General features: G+C 37.2%; 1 long non-coding RNA gene across 8 annotated transcripts in view; it reads right to left on the bottom strand.

Annotated features, from left to right (window-relative positions):
* MEF2C-AS1 (MEF2C antisense RNA 1) overlaps positions 1-12,330 on the bottom strand; it is a 584,252-nt gene that overhangs the window by 493,091 nt on the left and 78,831 nt on the right. For 6 of the 8 annotated variants that reach the window (NR_136218.1, NR_136219.1, NR_136222.1 and 3 more), the window contains one exon: positions 8,576-8,650. The exons of 1 other annotated variant lie outside the window; for it this stretch is intronic. This is a non-coding gene — a long non-coding RNA (MEF2C antisense RNA 1). Of the gene's footprint in view, positions 1-7,211; positions 8,651-12,330 lie in introns of those variants that run through there. One more of the 8 variants, NR_104031.1, reaches the window with a different exon arrangement.

The raw sequence follows: 12,330 nt of genomic DNA, 5'->3' as shown, positions 1-12,330 counted from the left end.
AAATCAGATCACTTATATGAACATTTCACAAAATGTATTCCATGCACTATAAATAGAAATTACCTAAAAAAATTTCCATGGCCAAATGAAATAGGAAAACATAGGCTTAAACAAATTTAAGCAGCTATATTGACTGGAAGACTTTTCAGAGAGGTAACGAGATAAAGTACAGCATTTTCCAAATTTATGAGATTAGGAAAACCTTCTTTACAAGGGAATTTCATGAGAGTAACATTCTGGGAAGCACACTTGAGAAATGCTGTTAAGTCTAAACTATATGGAATAAATGTATTTTGCAAGAAGTTTGATTAATGACTTGATTGAATACTAGTGTTTGGGCCAGTGAGATATGGTACCAGAATTCATGCAAAATAATTTATTCAATGAAAAATATTTCATTTTAATTCTGTACTTTTGAAAAAAATATTTTTAAACTCCTAAAGATGGGAAATTTGGACGGGAATGAGCTACTACATGTGGCAGGCATAAGTTATTCAATTTATAGAGTCCCTCATTTCATTTTTACAAGAACTCTATAAGATATGTATTGTTCTCTCTACTTTTCATATGAAGGAAACAAAAACTCGAGCTATTTAAGTGACTTACCCAAAAAACTAATGGTAGAACTTCTTCTTCTTCTCAGACTTTTGGCTAAGATCAAATGTAAAAAAAACTAATGGTAAGGCCAGAGTTTGAGACCAGGCCATTCCAGTGCCAAAATCACAGGGACCCATCCTCCCTTCCTTTCTTCCTTCCTCCCTTTCTTCCTTTCTCCCTCCCTCCCTCCCATCCCACCTCCCTGTCTCTCTTTTTCCCTCCCTCCCTCTCTCCCTCCATCTTTCCTTTTCTCTTTCTTTCCTTCCTGCCATTCATTAATTCTTTTTTTTTTTTCTTTTTTTGAGACAGAGTCTCGCTCTGTTGCCAGGCTGGAGCACAGCAGTGCGATCTTGGCTCACTGCAACCTCTGCCTCCTGGGTTCAAGCGATTCTCCTGCCTCAGCCTCCTGAGTAGCTGGGATTACAGGCACACACCATCACATCCAGCTAATTTGTTGTTGTTGTTGCTGTTGTTGTTAGTAGAGACGGGTTTTTGCCATGTTGGCCAGGATGGCCTCGATCTCCTGACTTCATGATCCGCCCGCCTCAGCCTCCCAAAGATCTGGGATTACAGGCTTGAGTCACCGCTCCCTTCCCTCCCCTCCCCTCCCCTCTCCTCCCCTTCCCCTTTCCTTTCTTTCTTTCATTCATTCTCGATTCTTTCTTTTTCATGATGCTTCCCTAAGATCCAAAATCAATCAAAAATCAGCATTCTCCCACCAAGGTTTAGTTTTCCGTTATGAAAGAAATACTCGAATTTGGAAATCAGCAACAATTTTGTGGGGCTAATGAAAAATGGGTTCCATTTAGAATTATAGTGATCCATTATTTTATATGGACCACCCTGCACTTCCTATATTCTCCCCAGGCTCTTTTTATTTCTTGGGAGAAAAAAAAATTGTTCTCTTAAAACAAAAGTTTCATTTAAGAGAATAATTAATTATTATTTAAAGGGCACTTCAAATGCCATTTCAAATCATACCCTATTTCCTTTCGTCCACAGCACTCTGCATGAATGTGAACTGATTCAATGGGAGACTTACTATTTTTACAATGGTCAATTTTTTTGCAGTCTATGTTTCAGTTAGTTGTGTGGTAAGAAAAAAAGCAAAGATTTTGTGTAGGTGTGCCCAGTTACCACTTGAGACCAGTATTTTGCATTCTTGTTTCTCCTTTACAAACACATAAAGAGTTATTCAAATTTGGGTGGTATCAAAGAACTTAATATACAAATTCAAACAAATCATTCAAAAGAAAAAAGCAATTAATCTATTTTTTTGTCTTTACTTTCTCTCAATTGCCATTCAAACTGATTATGATTTTGTTATTTCATAATCAAATAGTCTTCTGCCTTAAATATAATTTTTCTCCCCCAAGTTGAGCTCTGAAGTACCATTGTTATAATAAATTACAACTGTAAGAGTTTGACTTCCTAATACTTACACTGTCTAGCAAATTGGGAAACTTAAATGTTTTGGAGATAAATGGTGGAATACCAATTTTGTGGATTCATTCTCTGGTAAATTCCAATTCTCACTTTATCATACAGCATTAATTCAGATCAAAGTTTCTACTGGGATTTTATACACAGAAAAAAATATGCATATATAAATCCACATATATATTCATTTGCAATCAGAAAAACACAATTTAAAACCCTGTTTGTCATAATCATGATAAAGATAACATGACCTCTTCCAGCCTTCTGCCCCCAGGTAACATTTTGAACCTCAATCTGGCAAGTAATTTTTAAACACAATTTAAACAATAATGAGACACCCTTCTTATCCATCTTATTACTGAATAACAATGTCAAATAATAGGTATCCTAAAAAACAAGAGTGTAAGTTGGCACAGCCACTTTGAAGAGTAACTTGGCAACATATAGTTAAATTTCAAATGGGAAACGGGCATATGCTATGATCTGGTGATTCCACTTCCTGGCAGTCTTAACTTGGGTTTCCATAACAAAACACCATAGACTGGATGGGTTAAACAATAGACATTTATTTCTAATAGATCTGGAGACTAGGAAGTCCAGATGAAGGTGCTGATGGATTTGGTTCTTAGTGAAAGCCTTCTTCCTGGTTTGGAGATGGCTGCCATCTCACTGTCTATTCATATAACCTCTTTGTGCAGAGACAGAAAAAAAGAGGGAGAAAAATTTTCATGTCTCCTCTTCTTCTTATAAGGGCACTAATAATATCATGGGGGGCCCACTCTCATGACCTCATCCAAACCTGATTACTTCCCAAAGACCCTACCTCCTAATACAGTCATGTTGGGGGTGAGGACTTCAACATGTGAATTTTTTTTTTTTTGAGGAGGAGTTTTTCTCTTGTTGCCCAGGCTGGAGTGCAATGGTGCACTCTCGGCTCACTGCAACCTCCACCTCCCAGGTTCAAGTAATTCTCCTGCCTCAACCTCCCAAATAGCTGGGATTACAGGCATGCACCACCACACCTGGCTAATTTTGTATTTTTAGTAGAGACGGATTTCTCCATGTTGGTCAGGCTGGTCTCAAACTCCAGACCTCAGGTGATCTGCCTGCCTAGGCCTCCCAAAGTGCTGGGATTATAGGCATGAGCCACCACACCCAGCCTCAACGTGTGAATTTTAAGAGGACAAATTCATTCAGCCCCTAACATTGATGGTGGACAGCTTTTGAGTGTGTGCCCATAGAAACACAAATATACAAATATGCATAATCCTTGAAATACTGTTGGTCCTACTAAAATAGGTTTAGTTATATATGGTTGAGTTCTCAGAAAATGATATTGAGGAGAAAGGAAGGTGAAAATGATAAATGTAGTAATGTAACTACTATAAACATTTTAAAACCGAAAGGTATAAAATATTTATGATACTTATGTGTATAAAAAATAAACATGAACAAGAAAGATGCACACCAAATTCATCATAGAGATTATATAGGTAAGGAATTGTAGATTAGGATTAACATTGGTGGTTAATGGGAAATAAGTAAGACAAAATGTTAACAATTATTAGTTCTGGCCATAGATGTTCTATTATTCTATGTATTTTTCTGAAATATTTACATTTTTAAAATTAATTTTTAAAACAATTAAATTCTTAGAATCCTAGGTGCTTTATGATTAGTAACAAATTACTGGGCTGGGCACAATAGCTCACATCTGTAATCCCAGCATTTTGGGAGATCAAAGCAAGCTGAGCCCAGGAGTTGGAAACCACACTGGGCAATAAAGTGAGACCTTGTCTCCGCAAAAATCTTTTTAAAAACTAGCCAGGCATTGTGACAGTCACCTGTGGTTTCAGCTCCTTGGGAGGCAAAGGCAGGAGGATCACTTGAGCCCAGGAGTTCAAGGCTGTAGTGAGCTATGATGATGATGCCACTGCACTCCAGCCTGGGTGACAGAGAGAGACTCCAACTCAAAGACAAAACAAAACAAAACAAAATTACTGGCTAGACTGAGGTTGAAAATGGGGCAGAAGGTTGGAAAGGTCATGTTATCTTTATCATGATTATGACAAGCGGGGTTTTATTCGCAGAATAACCAGACTTGTTTAACAGGACTGATAATGATATACTGGATGTTCCAATGAAATATTTACCCAGTTTGGATGGTGAAAAGGCATTTATAAATATAGAAAACTTGTGAAAATTTATACTATAATATGCTAAGACCACTAGCTGGCATTAGTAATGTGTTACATGATTGCATTAATTGCAATCTGGATAACAAGTAGCATAATCACATCCAATACTGAGCAACCTAAAGAAGGATTATAGTATTACTGGAAGATGGAAAATGTTGCTGTTATTCAAAGACAATGTAGATATGAATTCTAAACTAAACCATCAGTGGATTTAGTCATTGAGTTTCAAAACTAGTTTGAGATTAGGGATATTTTGCAGGAAAATATGCAGAATGAAGGAGGAAGTAGAGAAATAAATATGGATGTATATGGAAGAGTTAAAGCACCTTTTCTCAAAACTCCAGCTAAGCTAATGGTAAATATTTTGAACCTATGCTTCTCAAGCAGCATATTTAGAGCATCTAATATAAATTTTTAGACACAGATGATGGTGGGCATTGGCATTTTATTGAGATGCATTATATAGTAAATCATTTTTTATTTGAGACTTGTATGTGCTAAGGACATGTCCTTGCCAAAACTGTGACTGCATTGGCTAAAGCCCCCATCATTTTTCACTTGATTAATGTCTCAGTTTATCTCCTTCCTCCAGTTTCTATCCCCTTTTAAACTCATTGTCCACTCTAACATCATATCTCAGATATAAAATTCTGATTATGTCATTTAACAGCCTGCAATGAGCTAGCCCTGTTGACTTGGAGACATTTCCTCTAAGAATAGTCAAGTAAAAAAAAGCAAGATGCAGAAAAATATGCAAAGTATTCTTTTGTAAAGCAAACAATGGCCAAAAAAACCCGATGTATATGGATATTGAATATATACATATACTGTATGCTTGAATATAATTATATAGCCAAGGAGAAAACAAAGAAAGGATACGAAATAAGTGTTAACATGAGTTGGGGAAGGAAAGATGTGGGTAGAGAAGGGGGATAAGACAGGAAGGAGAGAGAAAATTGGGAGGCAGGAGCCAATTAAAAAATGAAGAGGAAAAACAATATGTATGATCGTCTTTATATATTGATGTAAAATGTGTGTGATATTTTTATGTAAACACTTGAAAAGTAACAAATAGTAATAATTATAATTTCCTATTGTCTGTAGGAAGTTTAAACTTTTTGGCTCTAAACAGTCGTTGCAATTTCCCAATTATCTTGTAACTGCTCCAGGCTTATGTACCAGCTACACTTTCTTCACAGTTCCCACACCACACCATCCTAACCTTCCCTATCCAACCCTTACACATCCCATTGTGCATCTGGGATGCCCTTTCCTCCTTTCTTCCTAGAGAAGTCCTATCTTCATTCAAGAGCCTGTTCAAATGTCCTTTGCAAAGACTTTCTTAAACTCAGATACTCCATCTTCCATGTGCCCTGAAGTGTTTGTAGAACTTTCCATTGTGATGTTAAGTTGTATTGTGATTACTTTTGAACATATTTCAGCATTCTATTCTCTCGCTAGATAGCTAGCTCCATGAGGAAAGGAATCATATGCTTAATTTTTGCATATCAAGCACCTGGAATAAACCAGCATTTAGGAGATGGTAAGGAATTTTTGTTGATTTTACTGATTTCTGTTTGATTTTACATTTTAAAATGATGCTCAGCATTGTTGTACATCAATATTGTGCTTATTGTACACCAAGGTTAAGCATTTACATCTCCAATAAACCAACTCATTTTATTCTAGTTTATGGCCATGATTTACAGATATCTTACACTTGTCTCTGTAACAAGGTATTCAGGAAAGATTCTTTCTATCTAAGTTTTGGGGGAGGCCCCCAAAATCAAAACGGAAACAATAGGTAGCAAGTTCTCCCACATTCTAAAATAAGGCAATGGACCTCCTAAACAAGACCTGAAAGGAAGTGGACTGAAACTGCTTAGTGACTCAACATCTACTCAAGGGTCTGAAACAGTTGATATTGAGGAAACTGAGAGACATAAGAATTTCTCTGTAGAATGTTGTTGGAGGCTGTTGCTACTTTTCATCTCCCTCATCTGTAAGAGAGGCATCAAGAACACCTCACAGAGAGTTTAATGTTGATTCCCTAAAGCTTGGAGGACAGAGGAGACACGTGTTTAGTCTACCTTTGAGAAATTTCAGGCAAAAGACTCTATATCTGGAGTTGCCTACTTAGAGGCAATGCAAAGAGATACAGCTGTCCTTGGAGCCAGCTGCACTTCCACAGACAATAAAGCAGAGGTTGGTGTTTCCATGACCCAGTGTGGGCTCTTTAGATGACATCTGGGTAAGAGTTTCTTTTAAAAGGATTTTTTTTCTGAGGATGAGGCAACCTTGGCATAAAGAAGCTATGGGGTACTAACTGATGTAGAAGCTGAGGAGCTATTGAAGCAAACAAACAAGAGAGAAAGAGACTAGATGGCTCTAGTGAGGGAATTTCTGCAGAACCCACAAGAGTGTCCCACATCAGCTGAGAGCATATTAGGTTGGTGCAAAACTAATTGCGGTTTTTGACTTTAAAGTAGTGGCAAAAACTGCAATTCCTTTTGCACCAGCCTAATGCAACAAGGCAATGCAGACCACTGGCATCCCTGCCCTTGCCTCTCCTCCCTCTTTCTCCACCAAGGAACAGTGAAAAACCCAGAGCCAGTGGTTAGGGGAATGGCAGTGGAACCAACATGGGAAATGAAAACTTTTAAATTTACGGGAACCTGAGATTACTGATTATTGCATGGACTAGTCATTTTAATTACCTAAATGGGGTTCTGACTGTAAGTGACTAGAGTACTTCTTTTATCGTCCAAAAGGCGATGAAAAAGATATAGAACTTACCTAATATTTCAACTGTGGTAGGGAAAGAGTGAATCCATAAAGAGTTTGAGTTTATTATGCTCTAGCTGTTCAAACTAGTTATGTATGCTATTTTATACAAGAATGGAATGAGAAATATATGTTAATTTGTATACATCTATTGCTACTACTGGAGAAAAGAAATTCAAGTATATCCCTGGCTCAGAAAGAAATAATGAATCATTTTTATATTTAAGACTTACAGAGTAAATTGTCTATTTCATCACATATATGAAAACATAAAACAAATGTGAACAATAAGTCTTAGTTATAAATCTCACAATTAAATTATTGTAGCATTTCCAACACAAAAAATATTATCTTCATAAATAATTTTAAATAGCCATACAATAAGTTGCTCTCATCATGGTCCAACAGAGTAATAAAGAGTACACGTTTAAGAGATTTTTTGTCTTGCTATGGTAATTTACTGCATGTCAGGTATGATAGTAGGCAACAAGTGTGAAGAAACAAGTGTGAGGAAGACCACACCCTCGTTATAAGAAATTCACAGACTAGAAGAAAGACTAATGCATTAAAAATGTCCACCACTGGGCTAGTAAAGGCCCCTGTCAGGTGACACCTAGACTGCTACTACCAACTATGCTTATTGCCTCCAGACTCACCCCCTCTCATCCACCTTCTACACTGATTACTAAACTAAAACTAATATGACCATGGCACCTGCTTGCATTGAACGTGCTGCTGGCTTCTAGTAAACTTCAATACTAATTTCTAATATTTTAACCTGATAATCTGCTCTCTGCCTACTTCTCCATCCTTCCTTCTAAATATTCTCCCCTTGTTAACTTCATACTCCAGTACCTCAAACTATATCACATTTTTCCCCACCTCCTGAGCCCTTGCCCATGCTTTCCTTTCTCTCTGGCACCCTTCCTATCTCATCTGCCTGCAAAACTCTCGTCCATTCTTTGAAATCCTGCTAAGTTATTCGCTAAGATATTCATCTCTTCTGTAAGGTCTTTCTTGCCCATCCCTGTTTAGTGAACCACTCACATGCTTATTTATATAAATTCCATTTTCAGCCGTACTTCTATAATGGCGCATATGACATTGGTCTAAAATTACTTACTTTGAATCTTGTCTCTAACACCACACTCTGAGCACCTGGTACTGTGACTGGAACATTGTGGACAATGAACAAATGAAATAACTGAACCAACTCAAATTTGGATCAGTCGTATAATGATATGTACTGACCTTGATTAGGGGCCAGCACAGTGGCTTTATTGCCTAATGAACTAGACTTTTCTTAGGACTCAAATGCAAAGTTGTTAAAAGGCCCTTCTAATTAACTCAAAAACAGATAAGGCAGTTTGAAGGAGAGCTGGCTGTGAATTTGGCTCCGAGTTTATGTACTAGAATCTGAGGGGTCCTGAGAGGTTCAAAGCGTCCAAGTCCTATAAGGAATTGCGGATTGGAAGACAAAATTAGCTAACACTACTGAGAAGACAAACAAGAAATCCCTGCAGCATGGCCGACAATCATCTGCACTTTGTTTATACCTTAGGATCCGTTTTTTTCACATGGCTTCCATGTTCTTCTGTCTTCCCCCAAAGGCATATTCATGTTTAGAGAACCTGTAATAAAAATATTAGATAAACAATAACAAGGACTGCTTTTCATTTACTGGAAATTCACACAATTTATATAAATATATAAACATCCAGGAAGAATATTAACCAAATACTTTCCCCACTGAAATGAAATTACTTTCTTACTTGATTTTTTTTTTTTTTCTGAGACAGGGTCTTGCTTTATCACCCAGACTGGAGTGCAGTGGCGCGATCTCTGGTCATTGCAACCTTTGCCTCCCAGACTACAGGTGCATGCCAGCACGCCCAGCTAATTTTTGTATTTGTAGTAGAGATGGGGTTTCACCATGTTGCCCAGGCTGGTCTCGAACTCCTGAGTTCAAGCAATTCACCTGCCTTGGCCTCCCAAAGTGCTGGGATAACAGGCCTGAGCCACCGCACCCAGCCTCAAACTTGATCATTTTTTTAAAAGCAAAAACTTAGACTATTTTCAGAATTTTTATTATTCCTAAATATAATTGAATGGAAAATATTTAAATTAATTTCTCCTTAGCACCACAATCACATCTTGATTCTTATATCCTAGTAATTAATGGTTCTTCACCTCCACCACTGTCACTACCACTAGTAGTTGGACACTCTTAGGATCTTCTTATCTATCCCAGAGATCAATTTTAGTTGGTTTATGTACACTAGACTCTCAGTTTTCAAGGCTTACATACACAACAAGAAATCTAGTCCAACTGGATATACTTTGTGATCTTGATTCTACATGCACCAAGAGACAAACTACTGAACAGCCCATTCCAAGCCAAGTCGTATGGTTTCTGACCATCCATTCACTCATTCAGCAAATATTTATTTAGTGAGCTTCTACTGAGGGTCAAGCACTGAACTACACATTGTAAACACTTAGATACAAAGAGCACCCATTGCATTCAGAGATGTCCCTGGTGAATTCACAATTACAAATCCCCAAGGTAAATGCTATGTTAAAAGATGCTGGAGGATGAGAGGGCTCCAGGGAAGATTCCCAAGGAAACTTCACAGAAAAGGTCATGCTGAAATAAGTTTTCAAAGATGAGTAACTGGCCAAATAATAGAGAAGGGAATTCCAAGCAGCAGGAACCACAGATGCTACAGCATGAAAGCATGGGCCTGAAGGTGCTTTTAGAAAACTCCAGGCTTTAGATGCAGTTGGAGCCTTGGTGTACACAGGGGTAAAGAGAGAAATGAAGCTGGACTAAAAGACAGGCCCTGATGGTCAACAGCCTCTTACGCCATGTCTAGATTTTTACGCTAAAATTGATCGAGAGCCACTTTAGACATTTCAGCGAGTGGCTTCATCAGATTGGTGTTTCAGAAAAATCATTCTGGCCAAAGTGTAAATGACTCAGGGGAGCCAGAGGGTTACTACAGTAATTCAGGTGAGATAGGGAATACTAAAAAATGAATCTGTTGAGGAGAGAATATGATGAGGTCAGTGTTGGGGTAACCTGGGATAGCTGCTAGAAAATTGACTAGAGCACACTTCTTGGTTTATATGGTATACAGTTTACCCTTGCAGCCCTCAAAACAGCATGCATTTCAGTCTGGGCCACACACTCTCACTGCACGGTCTGCAGACGTAGTAAACTAGTCAACAGCACTCACTGTAAGCTGCTGCTAACTCTAGACTTGTAGTTTTGTAGTTTTGAAATTGTTGGCTATACTTGAATTTTCCACATTGCAAAATTTGCTTTTTGAATTTTACTCATTTTGATTTAGCCTTGAATCACAGCAAAACAAAACAAAAACAAACAAACAAACAAAAAACCAACTGTGTTCTAGTTGTCTTGCTTACTGGGAAATCTGGTGGAAGAAAGAAAAAAAGCCAGAGAAATCCTTCCCCTTGACTATGTTTATTGGCCAGCGCTCCACAGGGCATACCAAGAAGGTAAGAACAGGAGGAGTGGGTGTCAATCTTCTCTTCTAGGGGTGCCCAAGAGTGGAGGACTGTGGTCCTTGGTGTTTTGGTTCAGTCTGTTAACATATAGAAAATTAATAGGAAGCCACACAGCTTTGAAAAGTATGTTACAAAGTCCTTTGCTATAATTTCTTATAGGAAAATTATTTTGATAAGTGAATTTTTGGATTATTCATGTTTCTCTAATAATTATTCCATTTCATATGTCAAGGAGTTACTATACATGTGTGTGTCTGGAAATAAGGGAAAAGATCTAAGCTAGAGATATTCAATTACAACTCAATTTAAAAAAAAAAGTAACGGACTTTTTTTCTTATTTTATTTTTTACTTTAAGTTCTAGGGTACATGTGCACAACATGCAGGTTTGTTACATATGTATACATGTGCCATGTTGGTTTGCTGCACCCATTAACTCATCATTTACATTAGGTATTTCTCCTAATGCTATCCCTCTCCCCTCCCCCCTCCCCCCACCTCAAGACAGGCCCCGGTGTGTGATGTTCCCCACCCTGTGTCCAAGTTTTCTCATGGTTCAATTCCCACCTATGAGTGAGAACATGCGGTGTTTGGTTTTCTGTCCTTGTGATAGTTTGCTCAGGATGATGGTTTCTAGCTTCATGCATGTCCCTACAAAGGACATGAACTCACAGTAAAGGACATTTTTTATCCCATACTCTTTTTGCATGTGAAAGAAGAATTGTCTCTAACTCTATCTTAAAGGTGAACGACCAAAATAAATATATGGATGTGAGTATCAAATATTCCACATAATACGCTTTAATAACTAAACAAGTATTTGGTTTTTTTTTTAATTTAGTGATCAAAAGCCAGACTCAGTCTGACACATTTTCTGATGTGAACGGATATAAAAAGTTCAGCAATTCATACACTTTATAAATTTCATTATGTTTAAAATATGATTAACTCCAAAACTTTGATCTCCAACCAAAAGAAAATACTTCATGGAATCTTGAATTAACAGGCAACATTAAAGTGATAAGATTTTATAAGTCTAAGATTCTATTCAGAATAGTAAAAAATAAACTAATGAAACTATGTGAACTACTAGCTCATTAAAATTTTTAACTTATAAACATGTAGTATGCAAAAATTAAAGGTTATTTTTGATGATTTCAATTGGTACACTAAGAAAATGCTGAGTTATTGAGTATTATTCTATGTTCATAAAACCCCAAAGTGTAAATACATTTTATATCTTCATAAAAACACCTTATATAAAAGACCAATATGAAGTAACACAAGAAATCAGCACATTTTCTACCTCTTGATAGCAGTGACTAGAAATAGAATTCTTGAAAAAAAATAAATAAAATAAAACTAGCTTCTTAGTTAGCAACTTTGGAGTTTTCCGGTATGTTATGTGGTTGGACTACTGCTGGAGTGTCTGGGTTGGGTTGACCACCCATCTAGCGCTCAATCCACATGCCCAGTTTTGTGGGTGTCTTTCTGCTCTTATGTTTTTAAAGTCATATTTGATTTTTCACTGACCTCCTGTTATGATGACCTTTGAAGCAAAAACATTACTATTCTCCCCATGAGCTATGTGTGATGTTGTAAATGTGATTTAAGTATTGGGCAGAGGGTTAAAAAAAAAAATCCATGTAGGAAACCAAACAAATTTTGGGGAAAATGCAAAAATTTAAACCTCTGAGAATTTCCCAGGAGCCACACACTATTTCCACAGTTTGAAAAGAATGTAGTAAGAAGTTTTACAAAATGGAGACTATTGAAAATGAG

Source organism: Homo sapiens, chromosome 5, assembly GCF_000001405.40.
Source record: "Homo sapiens chromosome 5, GRCh38.p14 Primary Assembly".
NCBI classification, from domain to species: domain Eukaryota; kingdom Metazoa; phylum Chordata; class Mammalia; order Primates; family Hominidae; genus Homo; species Homo sapiens.
This window is presented reverse-complemented; position numbering and strand designations above follow the sequence as displayed.